We start from the raw sequence: 18261 nt of genomic DNA, 5'->3' as shown, positions 1-18261 counted from the left end.
CTTGTTTATTTGTTGCAAATATATTATCTCACTTATTACTCCATAATCTAGTAACACAAAGAGAAAATTTGGGTACCTCAACGACATCAGCTACTGCAAGCATTTAGCAGTTTCTGTCACCTGCTAACAACGTGATTTCAGGCAAATTAGCCCTTTGCATCTCATAAATAAAATGAGATGGACAATACTAATGACTCTTGTAAAAATTATATAAGTGTTAGTTCAGATAAGAATGCCTAGAAAACAGTAGAAAATTAATATTTGCTTTTGAGAGTTTATTTCTGCTGATCGGTAGAAGGGAAAGTTGATGCTAATATGTATCTGAAAGCATGCTGAATCTGGAATTTCATTTTTATTTATGTGTTAGATTAAAGAGCTAGGATAAAAATGACTATTCTTTCATTCTTAATTATCTTTTTTATGGTTTTATTTATGTAATAAAGAGTTTTATTAGAAGAGAAACTGCTGATTTTTTTTAAATCTTGGAACAATAATAATTATATTTATCACATGCTTACTGTTTTACTTAATTTCATATGATACTTAAAATTCTATTGGTCTATACTAGTGTTATCTCCACTTTACAGATGAGAAAATGAAGGCATATGGAAAGTCAGCAATTTCCTTGGATGACCTTTGCTACTAAGTGTTGATCCTGGGGTATGGGCCCACTTGATCTGACTGCGGCATCTGGTATTTTGTATCCACAAAATTCTATTGCCTACCACAATTATTTTGTCTGAATTTAATACTGTATTTATCAGAAAATTATTCCAGAGTGATCCATCACATTCACAGGTAAATTTTAAGTTACCTTGTATTTATTAAAAAGATGATTAAAAAATGAAGATCTGTTGTATGCCAGAGGATTCAGTGAATTTTCTTCTGAAGGTAGGTGTTCAAAATGATCATCACTTAAATCAAGGTCACTTAAGTTCTAAGGATAAAATAGGCAAATGAGAAACAAAATGCCTGTGTTGATGATGAGAATGGCATTCTGACTCCTGCCTTGCTGATTTCAGTTCTGGAAGAATGTTTTGAATATATTCTTTCAATGCTCACCAGGATTTGCTACCAGTTCTTTTTTACATGAAGACGTGCTAAGTTTTTCATATAACCTTCCTTGCTTTACTCAGATCCCTTTATATGTTCTATAGGCAGTGGGTAAGCAGGATAAAAACTCCCACCCTGACTTTTCCAGAAATTGGTAAGTGATGAAGACTGTGGATGAAGAAATTCTTTTTTTTTAACAGTATTAACACTAAATTTTATTTATTTATTTTTTCTTTTTTTATTATTATTATACTTTAGGTTTTAGGGTACATGTGCACATTGTGCAGGTTAGTTACATATGTATACATGTGCCATGCTGGTGCGCTGTACCCACTAACTCGTCATCTAGTACTAGGTATATCTCCTGATGCTATCCCTCCCCCCTCCCCCCACCCCACAACAGTCCCCAGAGTGTGATGTTCCCGTTCCTGTGTCTGTGTGTTCTCATTGTTCAATTCCCACCTATGAGTGAGAATATGCGGTGTTTGGTTTTTTGTTCTTGCGATAGTTTACTGAGAATGATGATTTCCAATTTCATCCATGTCCCTACAAAGGACATGAACTCATCATTTTTTATGGCTGCATTAGTATTCCATGGTGTATACGTGCCACATTTTCTTAATCCAGTCTATCATTGTTGGACATTTGGGTTGGTTCCAAGTCTTTGCTATTGTGAATAATGCCGCAATAAACATACGTGTGCATGTGTCTTTATAGCAGCATGATTTATAGTCTTTTGGGTATATACCCAGTAATGAGATGGCTGGGTCAAATGGTATTTCTAGTTCTAGATCCCTGAGGAATCGCCACACTGACTTCCACAATGTTTGAACTAGTTTACAGTCCCACCAACAGTGTAGTAGTGTTCCTATTTCTCCACATCCTCTCCAGCACCTGTTGTTTCCTGACTTTTTAATGATTGCCATTCTAACTGGTGCGAGATAGTATCTCATTGTGGTTTTGATTTGCATTTCTCTGATGGCCAGTGATGGTGAGCATTTTTTCATGTGTTTTTTGGCTGCATGAAACAGTATCTCCTATCCCTACTGAAGAATCTCTCAACTCCTCTGATACCTCTCAGAATGTTTCATGGCACTAGGTAATATATAATAATGGTATAATTGCAGAAACATCCTTGGAATAGAAATTTCTTTTTTAAATGAGGAAAGTCACTAATTATCCCTGTAACTAAAATGTAGGATATCCATGCACTTGCTTTGGAAAGGATGTCTGTATTGTTTTATACTTCTTATTGTATTTTATAATAACTTCATAGATTCATTTTAGGCTAAATAATTCTTGTAGAGGAATATATTTCCTTGTGCAGATCTGTACAAAGATTACATGACAGAAGATGTCTTCTCACTGGATTGCCACAGCAAAAGTGGAGAAGTTTGGTACTTTAAAATATCACTGGTGTATTTCTACACTGCATGTACCATTGGTCCATTATCTGGTTATATAATAAAAATAAGTAAATTAACATTTCAATCAAGGAAAAGCATCAAAACATGAAGGTAGGATTTAGCATTCATGTTGCCCTTTTACACACTCTGATTTAAATTCCAGCCCTTAAGTTACAGGAATTTACTTATTGTATTTTCTCTAGATACAGCTTAATAAGAAATGGAGGACGCTATTTTCTTACTTTATATTAAAAATTTTAAAGTTAATGAAGATACTGTTAATATTACCTTAAATTTTTTGATAGTGACCATAATTATTACACCAATTTTCATAAAATAATTTTTGAGAGTTAAGAATTGGGATACACACATGTGGAATTAAAAAACATAAAGCATTAAAACATACTTAAATGTAAGAATGTTATGGTGCTACCTCTTCACTGAATGAATCACAGTTGCATCAAACATCTCCCCACTAAAAACAAGAAAAAAAGTGACTTACTTCAGTTAGTTATTTCAATAATATTTTAATAATGTTTGCTATTAGAATCCATGGTTATTCGTATTCAAAATGGTTAGAGAAAATGTTCTTATTGGTGTCATACTCATATATGGATTTTGTAACTTATCGACATATGTAGTCATTTAAAAAAGATTATCCATTGTGATATTGGTGGAAAATAGTATTTTCTCTTATAATTTTTTATTTCAGTTTTGGGTTAAGATTTTTACTATGCATGCACATGCACACATATATACATACACACATATATGCATGTGATAATATAAATAATGAAAAGTTTTATTCAGGCTACTTGCAAAGGTCTGAGATAAGGCCTATAATTAACTTAAATTAGTCTATAAGTTCTATAGCATAATGTAGGAAATATAGTTTACTTTTTAGTCAAATAAAATGTGATATATTTGATCTTTCATGGCAAACATCAATTAAAGTGAAACTATGAATACATTCAAAAATGTGAAAAGTCTCAGAAATATAAATGTTGAGTAAAAATAGTAAATTGTGAAATGACATACCATTTATTATATGTCTTGTTTATATACATTTTTAAAACTCATAAAACTCTTTTATATATTAAGTGCCACATAAATGCATACTAAAATTTTAGAAAAAAGCCAGGGAATTATACACACAAACTTATACCTCTTTGAGGTCCTGACTTTCTGGCCACAAAAGAAAGAAATAGAAGAAAGGATGTATAGTGGGCCATCTGGCAATCACTGGAGAAGTATAGTGGTTGTTGCAGTTGATACCAGTGTGAAGGTGTGAACATTTCTTAATCGTAAATGCGAATAGTTACCTGTCTGTAGAAAGTAGCACTGAATAAGAATCAGTCACCTTCTGTAAGCAATGACATTATATCATTTTCCAGTGGCTAAAGGGAACGCTATACAGTAAAGAATTATGTAAGATGGATATAAACACACATACAAAACTCTGCAAATGTATCTTAATATCGATCAAAAGATATGACTCAAAATAATTTCGCAGTAGCATTTTTCTATAAAAAGCTCAAAAATAGGCAAAAGTGAACAATATTATTTTATAGAATACATTAGAGGTGGAAAAATCATTTTTAAAAGTAGAATGAATTACCCTAATCCACTAAGTAGTTTTTAACTCTACAGATAAGGAAGAAGGTGGATTCATAAAGCGACATTAAACAATACATGCAGTGATGGAAATGTTTTATAATTTAGTGTGAAATTTCCAGATGGTGGTGGTTACATGTATGTTTTCTTTTGGATTATTTATGATAATACAAACTTGTATGTAGTATTTTGAATGTGTCATAGACCTTACCAAAAATAGTCTTTAAAATGTATAATTAACAACATTTTTGACTAATTGAATGCAATAAATGGAAGACAAAGTAATTGAGGAAGTTCCCAATCTTCTGGTTTGGATGACTTTTCTGTGTCTCAAAGCTGATGCCTGTTTACTAACAACAGTTTGTTTTCCACAGTGGAAATTACCTCAATTCAAATGTTAGTGTTTACCTTTCACTCAATCTAACTCATCTCAATGTAGTCAGGAGGAAAAAAATGAACACTAAAAACAAAATATTATTGTAGTGATAGACTTAAATTTCATACTTTCACAACTGACAGAGCAGAACATTTCACAGTATCTTGTAGTAAAAGCAAAAACTGTAAATGTTTCTCATGATAAGATGTCATGTTTATTTTTAAAATTCCAAAATTTTCTTGGAATAAATTCTTTCTTTTACCCCATGAAAAACTTAACAAATGACTACATTCTAAATGTGATACTAAACACCACATAATGTACCATTAGCAATTATAATTTGCTAAGACTTTGTAGCCTCTTGATATTTCTATTTCGGTTCATCTTCATCTTTCTGTTGTTTCTTATACAGTCATATTTACAAATTCTTCTTTAAGTCTTCAATTCACACAAAAAGCCTGAATTTTGACAACATAATCATTAAAATTGACTATCATGTATGATTACAAATTTATCATTAAATATTTAGAAGTGAATATTGCATGTATCTGTGAAAGACAGATACTATAATAGTTTCAGATTATTGGCTAAGTCAAATTAAAGTTAGATCCTACTTGGCTCTAGAAGATGGAAGCAAACATCTCAAGTTAACAATTTTACTGTCTAAGAAAGTTTCTCATTTTTTGAGACCATGTCCTCATGGCTATACATAACAGTAATATTCTGATCCAATGTAGGATATAGGGAAAAATACAAAATTATTTCAAAATAAAAATATGTTGAATGTTTGTAAAAATTTTTTCTTCCTTCATTCTTTGTTTGTTACTTCATTCTTTCTTCTTTTCTTTCCTTCCAAAAATATTCACTGGTCACTGAATATGTCCCAGGCATTGTTATAGGCCCTGATAAAGTGCTGAATAAGACACAGAAATGCCTGTTTTTATGGAGCATATATTTTTGTGGAGATAAGATGAGGGCAACAACAAAGACAATACACAAATAAATAAAAAGGTAAAAAGCAGTAATAGTAACTTCTACAAGGAAAAGAAGTCAGTAATAGAACAAAAAGCACTGGGTTGCAGAAGAGGGATTTATTTAGATAGAGTGCTCAGGGAAGAGTATTCTGAAGCAGGATTTCTATATGAGACCCCCGAAGTAGAAAAGCAGTTAGTCATTCATACATCAGGGCAAAGGTTCTTGGATAAGATCAAAACCAACATATTTGAAAAAGGAAAAAAAAAAAAAAGCTGCTGCATGAGGAGCATGGGGCAAGATGGAGAATGATAGGGAATGAAGTTAGAAAAGTCATTAGTTAGACAAGGTAAGTCTTGTGTCCTTGGAGAGGTGTTTAGAATATATTCCATTTTAAAAGAGAAAGTATCAGAGGCTTTTCAGAGATCTTATCTGAATAATGTTTGGTTTAACATCTGATTGTGACTGCTCAGTGGATAATGCATGTGTGTATGTGATCAGGGTGGAGGAAAAGTGGAAGCAGGTAGACTGGTTAATAGGCTATTCTGGCAGGGCACGGTGGCTCACGCCTGTATTCCCAGCACTTTGGGAGGCCGAGGCGGACAGATCATGAGGTCAGGAGATCAAGACCATCCTGGCCAACATAGGGAACCCCTGTCTGTACTAAATTACAAAAAATTAGCCAGGCGTGGTGGCACACACCTGTAATCCCGGCTACTCAGGAGGCTGAGGCAGGAGAATCACTTGAACCCGGGAGGTGGAAGTTGCAGTGAGCTGAGTTGGCACCATTGCACTACAGCCGTGCAACAGTGTGAGACTTCGTCTCAAAAAAAAAAAAAAAAAAAGAGGCTATTCCTCCATTTCTGTTAGGGATGACAATAGCTAGAGTTGGCTAGATGCAGTGGAGAAGGTTAGAAGTATTAGGATTTGGGGGTATATTTTTTGAAGTAAATCAAATGACAATTGGTGATGAATTGATTGTGTGCTGGCATAAAAGAGAAATGAAAAACTGTAGATGTCACATTTGAACTGTCCATTAAGTCATGGATAGCATAGTTCATTAACATGTTGTTTACCATAGGTTAAACACAGATGTTTTACTGTTTTGTGACAAAAAGTTCATTGACTACAAAATATGTTTGTTTAGGAAAAAACCTATTGCACTCAAAACCAATACTAACATCATCCTATAGTAGCTGTATAATCAGACTCCAGGCTAGGCTGAATGATTGCCATTTCAGTCCTCCATAGCGTAGTTTTCATCCAGACCTTATCACCATTGGTCTAAATTATCTATTTTATTTATTTAATTATCAATGTTTTTTCAATATAAATTAAGTCCAAGGAAAAACTACCACAAACAAATCAATGTAGTGAGATGAATACTCTGAATACAACAGAATGAAATAGTCTTTGGAAAAGAAAGAAAACTTTTGTAGATTTCACTTATTTCTGCATCAGTATCTGAAAGAAGAAAATAACATTGGTTCAGTATAATAAAATGACCAAATGACTCACACTTAAAGCAAAATTATTTTTCTTGATTTATGATTTTAATGTTATTTCAAAAAGACCATAATGAATGGTTATCTACAAATTCATGCTATTTGGCAAAATACTAAATACAAATGCTACAGAATATATGAAACTATTATGTGTATCTAATATCTTGAACTAATTCACTAGCCAATTGTTCATTTAACATAAAAGTAAAATAAATGAAAACCAAAGAATATAGCAATAGTCAAGGTTTAACTAAAAATGGATATCTTTTAGTTTCTTTGGCAATGGCTGCTGTAAAGAGGTATCACCAACAATAATAAATACCATCACATTTGCTTTTCAATTCTACTTTAGCTAGTGATGTCACCTCAGAAATAACTTTGATTTGGCTGACAGTCAAAGCCTTGTCATTTACCTGTCTGGTAAACATTAAAATTGGAACATCTTTGAGAAGGGATGAAGGAGAAGAACCTGAAATTAAGATGGCCAAGTTTCTTGCTTATCCCCTGATCAGATGACTAAGACACAGTGAGTCCAGTTGAGCTGTTTGTTTGTGCCTTTGGGTGGTACAATGTAGGGACAGGGAGACTTCAGGTCTAAATTGTTTGTTTTCTAAAACAGTAGTTCTTAATATGGGGTAGGATGGTGGCTGAAGGGATAGCATACAGAATAATCTGTAAGAACTTAAACAATGCCTCTTTCTATGTATAGTCCAACCCTCTTTTCCCACGTTAAAGGTTTTTACCTATATTAACTACTGTTAATTTAAAATCTTCAAGTCATAATCAATTTGGATCAATTTAAGGAGGAACTCGCTATTTGTTCAAAAGTAGCCTGAGTTCCTTACGCAAGACATGAGTTAATAGTTTGAAAGGTTCTGAGGCACAAACTACCAGTGCTTCTCTAAGCTCCACTTTCTCATTTTCATGTAGTAAAAAATATAATACATTCCAAGGTAGCTTCAGATTATGAGATTTAACCTCTTTATCTATAATTTCTAAATTATATTATCACATATGACTTACAGAAATGAACCCATGGTACTCTTCTAGAGAATTTCACTGATTTGCCTAGAAAACATTAAAAAAAAGATCTTTTCATAAACAATCAAATGTACTTTATTTCATAGTATTGGGCCTATCTTTTCTAAATAACCTTTCTTCTCTGAGAAGTTGTGTTTTGCTGATCTCTTCTTAACATGTTTAAAATATTCTATACTGCTACTAGATTTAGCTTTCTGAAACAGAGAACTGGTTGAATCACTCCTCTCAGTGAAGGTCCCTAATAAATTGCTTTGGCTACAGGATGAAGTCCAAGGTATTGAGCAGTGTTTTCAAGGTCCCTTCTTATCAGGTTCTATTTCTTTTTATCTTCACTTTCTATCATTTCCTTCTACTGTCATGTGAACCATGAGCTACAGGTATATATATATATATATATATATATATGTATACGTGTATATATATGTATGTGTGTATATATATATATATATATATATACAGTGTTCATAATACCCCAGCAGATGGAAAGTGCTTGTGTCAAATCTACTGAATGAACATATTTAATGTGTGAAGCATTGGAAGCATTGGAGAACAAGCCTGGCTCATCATACCTCTCTAGAGAAGCTGCAAACACCATTGAATGTAACCCCTTGGTGAATATCTTAAAAGAAAAAGAGTTCTTATCTCCTTCTAGGTAACAACTACTAGAGCTTTCCAAGTGGTGGCAATGTGCTGCATAAATAATTCATTGGTGGATTTAAACTTCCATTTGTTTTTAGCCTCTTGCCAGGGTTCAGAGTATCTTCTATGTAGTTCAGAATCATGGTTTCCCTTTGGTAAAATAGCCTAATTCCTTGGGTCATATCTACTAAAATTTAGGGACTAGCTGCTTCTTACATTTTTTTTTTTGTCTGAAAACAATTGTTTTTCTAAAAGTTTAGTAAACTTCGCTAAAGCTAAAGTTCAAGATGAATAATAGAAACTGCATTTACTCTCTTGCTCAAAACAAAAATAATGTGCAAACATGAGAAGAAAAATGAGAAGGAACAATTTTTCAAGATCTAAATATCAGGCTGTGTAAAATAGTAATCACTAAGAGACAGGAAGCAAGGTAGGTGGTCTCTATGATTGTCCTAGCATACTGCCTGGAGTGAGTTTCCATGGCTTGGTGCAAGGGAAAACACACACACACACACACACACACACACACAGAGAGAGAGAGAGAGAGAGAGAGAGAGAGAGAGAAAGTCCCAGAAGATTCTCTGAGTTAAGTAGATGGAGCCAGGAAGGTCAAGATAGCTGACGTTTACAGGCAGAGTACCTGATGGGAAAACAGGCCACAAAGATGTAGATACAAAGATCTAGATATCTGTGTTCTCACTTATAAATGGGAGCTAAGCATTGAGCACACATGTACATAAATATAGGAACAAGGAACACTGTGGCCTACTAGAAGGTGGTGGTTAGGGCTGGGTTATAAAACTACCTCTTGGGTAGTGTGCTCACTACCAGGGAGAAGGGATCCATTCTCTAAACCTCAGCATCACACCATATTCCCATGTAACAAATCTGCATATGTACCCCATGTAATCCCTGTATCTAAAATAAAAGATGAATTTTTTTTTTAAAAAGAGGATATGCTCACATTTCAATGAGTATTGATTAATTATATGAAGATATGACCTGAGGTCAGGTAGAGAACTACCTGAAAGGACAGAATAGAACAACAATTGGTACTCACAATTGGTACTAGGGCAGGAAAAAGTTCTTGATCCCACCAGCCAGAGTGAAAAACCACAAAATTCACTGGACATAAGTTTGAGCACTCAGAATAATTTGATCTCAATAAAGGAAAAATTAGCCTTGGATAAAAACATTTATCCGTTCCTGTTTAATAAAGTGTAAAAGCATACTAACCTAATAGCATTCCAGAATAAAGCTCATGAACATGTATGTCCATACACACATATATGTGTGTACTACATATACACATTATGTACACGTTGTGTATGTTATAGATATAATAATATGTGGGTACAATGTATACATGGCCTCAGGAGGAGGAGGGTATGTAGGTACATATACATGTGCATGTGTGTGTGTAAAGATATGTTAAAAAACTTAATGCTTTCCCCTAATATTAGGAACTGAGCAGGGATGTCCATCTAATCACTTTTATTTGACATTGTACTGGATGTTTAAGCCATTAAAGCATGCAATAAGTAAATAAATGCATCCAGTTTGGAAGCTAAAATCTGTTCAACAGATGAATGGGTAAATGAATTACGGCGTATCTGTATAATAAAATAATAATCTGCAAAGAACCAAACTATTAGTAAATACAACTTCATGGATAAATCTCTAAAAGTGAATGATGTCTGACACAAGAGTACATACAATATTATTCCACTTACGTAAAATTCTAGAAAATGCAAACCAATTTGTAGTGACAAAAAACAGCCCAGGGATGGGAGGATGGGGAATGTGGGATTACAGAGGAACAGGAGGAAACTTTTGACTGTAGTAGACACATTCCCCATCCTGGTAACTCTTTTCATGAGTGTATACATATGTCAAAACATATCTAAGTATACACTTTCAATATGTGTAGTTTGTGGTATGTCAATTGTATCTGAATAAAGCTGTTCAAAATATTTAAGTTGATATAGATTTGCTTGGGGAGTGGTTTTTTTTTTTCCCCTTCTACAAATCTCATTTCTCATACATTATAGTGGTAAGATATAAACAACCTACCTGTTCAAGAGAGGGAGAAGGGTGAGGTTCTGGGGCAGCAGGCTTGGCTGTAGCAGGCTCAGCTGGTGAAGGTTCCTCTGCAGCTGGCTCCACTCCAACAGGTGCCTCTGCAGCAGGCTCAGCTGCAACAGGTGCCTCTGCAGCAGGCTCAGCTCCAACAGGTGCCTCTGCAGCAGGCTCAGCTGCAACAGGGGCCCCTGCAGCAGGCTCAGCTGCTACAGGTGTGGCTGTAAGAGGTGCAGCTGCAGCAGGCTCAGCTGCAATAGGTGGGGCAGCGGGTGCTGCAGCTGCTGAAAAAAACCTTGAAGGAGGGACAAACGGGAAACCCCTAGGAGGGAGAGGAGGAACATTCAACTGAGTAGCTAAGGGAAAACCACGGATGTGATAGACATAGGGGAATCCAGGAGAAGTTAGAATCCAGGGATACGAAGGTAACCCTGTGTCAGTGTAAGTATTCCCAGGGTAACTGGGGACTGTATTCACTGGGCGATAATAAAGAGGAGGTGGTAAATTCCGTATGCCATAAGGAATATTCAGAGATGGATGAAGTGGGTGACCATCGTCATTGTCATCCTAAAGGAGAAACAAAGAAGTCGAAGTTGATTGTATTTGTCCTGTCTATATATTACTTATGGTACAACTGTGATGATATATGATAAGTAATGATATTTTGAAAGAATTCCAATGTCTTATCTTTCTTAAGTCTAGTGTACTTCCATATTTTTGAAGTAAGAAGTAATAATCTCTTAAGAAAATTGAATAAACTCCAACTGAGGAGGAAATATTTTGTGTTTAAGCAAATAAGAGTGTTATAGTCCACAGAATATGCTAACCTAGGCCAGGACAAAGATAGAAGGAAAGCACTCGCACTTTTAGGATTGATACAGGATTATGAGATTAGTAGCTCCGGGCCTTCTTCTCTGCACCCTCCATTGTCTTTCCCACTGCGCTCAGCACTCTCTGGGTCTCTAAAGTGTCCACTGAAGCCTCTGCTTCATTATTCCTCTTCCAGGTGTCCCATATTCCAGACTTATCTTTCTCAACTTCCTACCTCTCTTTATCAATGCTTCCCTTCCTTTAACACTGTGCATCTCAAATTTTCATTAAGAGGGTGAGCAGATTGGGAGGCCGAAGAGGGCGGATCACGAGGTCAAGAGATCGAGACCGTCCTGGCCAACATGGTGAAACTCCAACTCTGCTAAAAATACAAAAAAATTGGCTGGGCGTGGTGGCGGGCGCCTGTAGTCCCAGCTACTTGGGAGGCAGAAGCAGGAGAATTGCTTGAACCTGGAAGGCAGAGGTTGCAGTGAGCTGAGATCAGGCCACTGCACTCCAGCCTGGCAACAGAGTGAGACTCTGTCTCAAAAAATATATATAAATAAAAATAAATAAACAAGACAGTGAGCAGACTGGATGTAGATGTTAATGTTATTGTATATAATATTATTATTATATATAATAATATACAATACTGAGAAGTTTCTCAATAAATGTAGATTGTCCCTCAGGGTCTTTGAGATATTTTAAGGTTTTTCTTGATGGAAGTTCTGTGATTTATTTTTAAAAGTATAAAATGTGTACCTTCTCTGTGCCATCTCTGTGCTAGGGGATCCTACATACTGGAAAACAGACAAGGTTTCTTTCTTCTTGTGTCTGGGATGCTACATTCCCCAGCCAGTCAAGCTTCTTAATTAACATTTAATTTTTTTCCAATTTTAGGTAAGTTTCCTGAATTACTGAGTTAAATTTTTCTCACGAGTCATATTGCCAGAGCCCCCTGAGGTATGACATATATACATAAGTAATATATGTCCCCAGGTGTTCATAGAGGCAAATATCAATTATTTGCATTGTGGATCATAGAGCCCTAGAATCTGAGGACTTAAATATTAACTCATTAGACGAGTTAATGGGTGCAGCACACCAACATGGCACATGTATACATATGTAACAAACCTGCACGTTGTGCACATGTACCCTAAAAGTTAAAGTATAATAAAAAAATAAGTAAAATGATGCAAAAAAAAATTCAAAATAATACCTAATAATATTTCTATTTTAAAACATTATTTCCAAAAGATTTCTACTCCTTCGTTATATGTCTGATCATTGTTGGTCAAAAGTGTGCACATCACAGATTATGTCTCTTGAGCTTTCTTTGCTAGAGTGTCATGTTGATTTATGGCATACTGGTGGATAGGTGTAAGTGTAATTTTCTTAGTAGTCTTCTGTTGCCAGAAATTGAGGCACAAGTAGCAAGGAACTGAAAAAAACATCTAACATCAGTTAATCAGTATGTGCTTTGGTCTCATAGAGATAATTTATGGGTATTTGCTACACAGAAATCATCTAACTCATTGGGACACACTCCTCCTGCTAGTGGTTCCTAGCTTGAAGACACACACCTGAATATATGGCTGGCCCACTACTTCATGCTTTCTCTTGCTCTAACCCTTCATGCAGACAGAGCATCTCCAGATTCATCACTAAGTTTGTTCAAATGAACTTAGGACATACTGACAATGTATAATAGAGGCATGAGGGGAAAACCTTGGCATGGCAAAAATTTTCTTAAGCTGCAAAGGGAGTGCACTTAATGCTTTTGCTCATTAAAAAGACTAAAGACCTTTTGCTAAATATGTTGAACACAAACATATTCCATAAATATTTTCTATCAAATCGGAAGAGTTTAATAGCACTATTATTTTAAGAGCAATAGCAGTCATTAAGTTTCACTGTAAAGAAATCAGAGAGTTTTAAAATGTAAAATATATTTTAAGATAAAAACAAATATACTTGCGTGTAAAGAAAAAAAAGTTTTACCTCACCAATGAAGGGGAACCGTCTCTAAAATAAAGAAAAATATATTTTAATGCGGTTATGTATTTGAAAACATCTGCACCTACATTTCCATATTGCTGAAAAATTTGCAAAGCTTAATAATACTTATGGTTAATTTTTTTGAAATTTGAGTAACTAATATGAATTTTTTTTTATCATCGTCATCATTATCATTACATGGTTTTGACCTAAACAATTTCCTCAGGGAGTTTTACTTTGGCTGGATGGATTTTGGTTTGTAATATTCAACATGTACATAAATCTTTATCATCTGAAAGATCATTCAGCTCTCATTCATATATCTGATTTTGCTATTCACTTTTTACCTCCCAGGTTTTGTCTGGTGTGTGTGTGTGTGTGTGTGTGCATCTGTGTGTTAAAGTGTGGCCTTTGCGACGGGCGCAATGGCTCACGCCTGTAATCCCAGCACTTTGGGAGGCCGAGGGGGCGGATCACGAGGTCAGGAGATCGAAACCATCCTGGCTAACACGGTGAAACCCCGTCTCTACTAAAGATACAAAAAATTAGCCGGGCGTGGTGGCGGGCGCCTGTAGTCCCAGCTACTGGGTAGGCTGAGTGAGGCAGGAGAATGGCGTGAACCCGAGAGGCGGAGCTTGCAGTGAGCCCAGGTCGCGCCACTGCACTCCAGCCTGGCTACAGAGCGAGACTCCGTCTCAAAAAAAAAAAAACCACAAACATACAACAAAAAAAAGAGTGGTCTTTGCCACCTCTTCACAGTACCAGAAGGACCATAGATCCATTTGTTCTCCAATGAAGCTTCAATATGGTTTGTGAATTGACCACAGATTATGAACTACAGAATAAAAATAAAAAGTACAGGAAAATCATCACTTATTATTTTAAGAATTGGAGCTTCATTTATCTAATTTTAGGGAACAAAAATAATAGTTTAAAGTTTGGACAGGATGATAATAACATCAATAGCAAATGGTATCAAGTAGCAGTTGAGTTTCTACCATACCTGAGGTACTCTGCTAAGCACTTTATATAATTACCTTATAAAATCTTTAAAACAATGTTATGGTGTAGGTGTTATTATTTTCTCCATTTAAAAAAAGATAATATTTAGCATAGTCACTGGCTAGGATTAAGAATTTGCCATCAGATTTGTCTTACATTAGAGTTTCATCTACTTATGTTACACTAAAGGCCATTGCATTACACTATATTACGTTACAGTCCACTAAAGGTATGATGTGCATTTACTTCTATTCCATCAAGTATCCCTAATGTCTGTACATAAATACCTCCAGCAATGGCACTTCACAGCCATAGGAAGCCCAATCCAGCATTCTATAATTTGAAGAGATAAACTCTGTTAAGATAATCTACGTGGGATCCTGCTTTTCTATAATTTTTCCTCCTCCAGCCTCCTACATTTATGAACTTACCTCCTTTCCTTGCTGTTTATCTATTTTCAGATACTACAACTTTATTATTTTGATTTTTAAATTTTCCGTTGAAAAGTCTGACACTACAAATCTCATGTCCATCTATGTCTCTCTGCTGCTTTATTACAAACACTATAGTACTTTATCATAAGCACAAATGCCTATAAACAATTAGCAAATGGTTATACAATTGTTACAATTTTGGAAGTCCATTTACTTACCTTCCTTGCAAAAGCAACACATACAATGCAGGCCCAAAGGAGAAGCTTCATTTTGATTGACCCTATGAATATTAACACTATAAATTTATTGTTTTAGAAAATACGCAATGTATTTTTAAATTATATTTTTCTTCTTTTAGAGAGAAACGAAAGAATACATGGCTTTTTTAGTCTGTCTAGGAAGACCCTTAACAGAATAGTTGGCCCTGCTATTTAACTACTGTCTGTATACCTTAACAGGAATGTCACTAAAGCCAATATAAATATATATTAGCAGATACCGTTCAACAGTTAATTGACTTCCAACTGAAATGTCTAAAAGTAGATGTCAACTCATTTAGCTCCCCAGGGACATATTTTGCAATTAATTTATTTTGGAGGTCTTACCAGGAAATAAAATTGCTTAAATGTCACCATTCTATGGGTGCTTCTTAATGTTTTGTTTTTATGAATTCAGTGGGAGATTGGTATCACCTACTTAGAAAAATTTCTAATCTTAAACTTGATCGTAATTTTTTTTCTCTATTTCTGAAGAATAGTGGAGAAGGCATATTCTCAGGTGTGTGTCTTGATTAGGCTCAGTTTTCTTCAGAGAACCTAAAACCATTCTCCAACTGATTGATTATTAAAGTGTATGGCTTCTTATTTCTTCAAAGCCAAAATATCTCCACTTGTACCGAAAAATTGCATATACAAGGACACTTATAGCATTATTTAGAATCTCATAATGTGAAAAATATTAAATCCCAACAAAAAGTTTTGTTAAGAATAATCATATTAGGTTCATAATATATTGCTAAATGAATATTTAAATATTAAATATTGCAAAGATAAGCCATAAAGAGAATAAAATCATGTCCTTTTCAGTAACATGAATACAGTTGGAGGTCATTGTCATAAGTAAATTAATAATGCAGGAACAGAAAACCAAATATTCGTGTTCTCCCTTATAACTGGGAGCTAAACATTAAGTACATGTGGACATAAAGATGGCAATATGAGACACTGGGGAATACTAGTGGAGGGAGGAAGGAGAGGAAGTGGGCTGAAAAACTACCTATTAGGTACTATGCTCAATACCTGGGTGAAGGGATCCATCCATACCCCAAACCTCAGCATCATGCAATATACCCATGTAACAAACCTGCACATGTAGCCCCTGAATCTAAAATAGAAGTTAAAATTATAAAATAAGTAAATAAATACAAATAAATAACTAAAACAGCAAATAGAAACAAGAATAATATTCCTACTCTAGAGACTTGTAGCACTATAAAAAGAGCACCAACTTTATATATGACAGGAAACTAATTTAAAATAAAAAAGTAGTAGATAAGAACATGAGTATTGGTAAAATATTTAATGAGTTATGAATTAGAAGATCAGTTTGTTTTTATAATTATTTGTATATTTTTCTTTCATTTTCTGTAGTCTATTTTTTGTGAAGTGAGAATGTATTGCTTATATACTATGTATATTCTAGTAATATAATGAACTTCCAAGTTTTTTTTGATAAGATTGTGGATTCTTTCCTACCTAATCCTTACAAAATCTAGGCTGGAAAAAAATCATCATATTCCTCGAAACATATTTTTAATCTTGGCTAAGCTGCTTACCTGTTCAACATGGCTTTGACCACATACTGAGTGACCTTTGCTTTAGTGATCTTTGATATTGTACATCAGGTTTTCACTGACACACAATTTAATAAAAAGTGTTTCATTATCCTTTTCCTTCTTTATCTTTTTCTTGAAATAGCATGTTAAATGAGACAGACTTACCTGACCCTATTTTTCAGTTCTTCAGAAGCACATGAGGCTTTATGAACAGAACTGATCTGTTTTTTCTAGGGTTTATGTGAATTCTTGAGTCCAGTCTGAATGTAGGGAAAAAAAAATTTCTTTGCTAAGTCTTGCCTCATACAGTGTTAAAGTGAGAACTCAGGTGTGAGGTGGACTAGATTTATACAGACTAGATTGTGTCATCAATCTCTGGAAACTATGAAATAATATAAATATGCCATGCATTTACAAGTATGCTATTAAAGTCCATCTGACTGAAATCTGGTAGAAAAATTTTTATTTTTATTTTATTTTTGTTATGGTTTGTGCATTTTCTTTTTATTTATTTATTTATTTATTTATTTATTTATTTATTTTATTTAAGTTTTAGGGTACATGTGCACATTGTGCAGGTTAGTTACATATGTATACATGTGCCATGCTGGTGCGCTGCACCCACTAGAGAAATTTTTAAAATGGGAACATCTTAACATAAAAAAAAGCATACCTTGTTTCCAGGGTGCAAACTAGTGGATGCAGCTCTTGGTCTTGACGTGGACAATGTGCCTCACTCCCTTTCTTTCCAGGGATATTTATAAGTCCCTAACTTAATGTTTACTCTTTCATTTTGAAACAAATTAGCATTGACTCTGAGAAAAATAATTTAAAAACCTATGAATTTGACTGATTTGGCTGTGAATTACTTCCTTCATTTCAGAGAACCATAAAAATAGGGAAATTATTCCCATAAAATGACAATAAAGACAAATTTAGGAACTACATTAAGCTTAATTCCTAAATTGACTTTGCAAATATTCATTACTTGACTTTGTTTTGACATCAATTGGAAATTATGATGAAGAAAGGTTATGCATTACTTCATTTTATGTTAAGCATGTAATAGAATAACATAAATATATTTTTAAACAATGGTGTGGTTTCTCTTCCTGTATTAGCATTATAAACATGAATTAGCTAATGGAAACAAATATTAGAAGCTGAAAGAACCCTTCTATCCTGTGAATTTATTACTGACAACCTAACAACACTAGTAATATGTTATATCAAAGAATAATTGAGGCATACTAATGGTTGTCAGTGCACACGTCATACATCAGAGTAACGTGAAGTAATTTAGCTGGATACCTTCTTAGGTCATATACTAGGTTCAGTGTTGTTTGTCAGGAGTGACAAAATCCTTTTGTCTAAGTATTTAATTTCCTCTCTTGTGGACTAGATTAACACAACCCCCCTATACTAAGGCCCTCGTAGAAAGAAAGTGGGCTCATGTTTATCTAATGACTATACCATAAATCAGGCATTCAAT

At 34.5% G+C, this 18261-nt stretch overlaps 1 protein-coding gene across 1 annotated transcript; it reads right to left on the bottom strand.

The window, feature by feature from the left end:
- Nucleotides 1-2970: 2970 nt before the first annotated feature.
- On the bottom strand, nucleotides 2971-15343 carry PRR27 (proline rich 27). The gene is made up of 5 exons (NM_214711.4): nucleotides 15154-15343; nucleotides 13503-13526; nucleotides 10680-11252; nucleotides 7950-7994; nucleotides 2971-6885 (listed from the first exon to the last, which is right to left on the bottom strand). The coding sequence occupies exons 1-4, from the start codon at nucleotides 15202-15204 to the stop codon at nucleotides 7983-7985; spliced, it is 660 nt and encodes a 219-aa protein (NP_999876.2). The 5' UTR covers nucleotides 15205-15343; the 3' UTR covers nucleotides 2971-6885; nucleotides 7950-7982.
- Nucleotides 15344-18261: the final 2918 nt, after the last annotated feature.

Source organism: Homo sapiens, chromosome 4 (assembly GCF_000001405.40).
Source record: "Homo sapiens chromosome 4, GRCh38.p14 Primary Assembly".
Classification (NCBI taxonomy): domain Eukaryota; kingdom Metazoa; phylum Chordata; class Mammalia; order Primates; family Hominidae; genus Homo; species Homo sapiens.
Note: the sequence above shows the minus strand (reverse complement) of the source record. Positions and strands in the feature narration are given on the sequence as shown.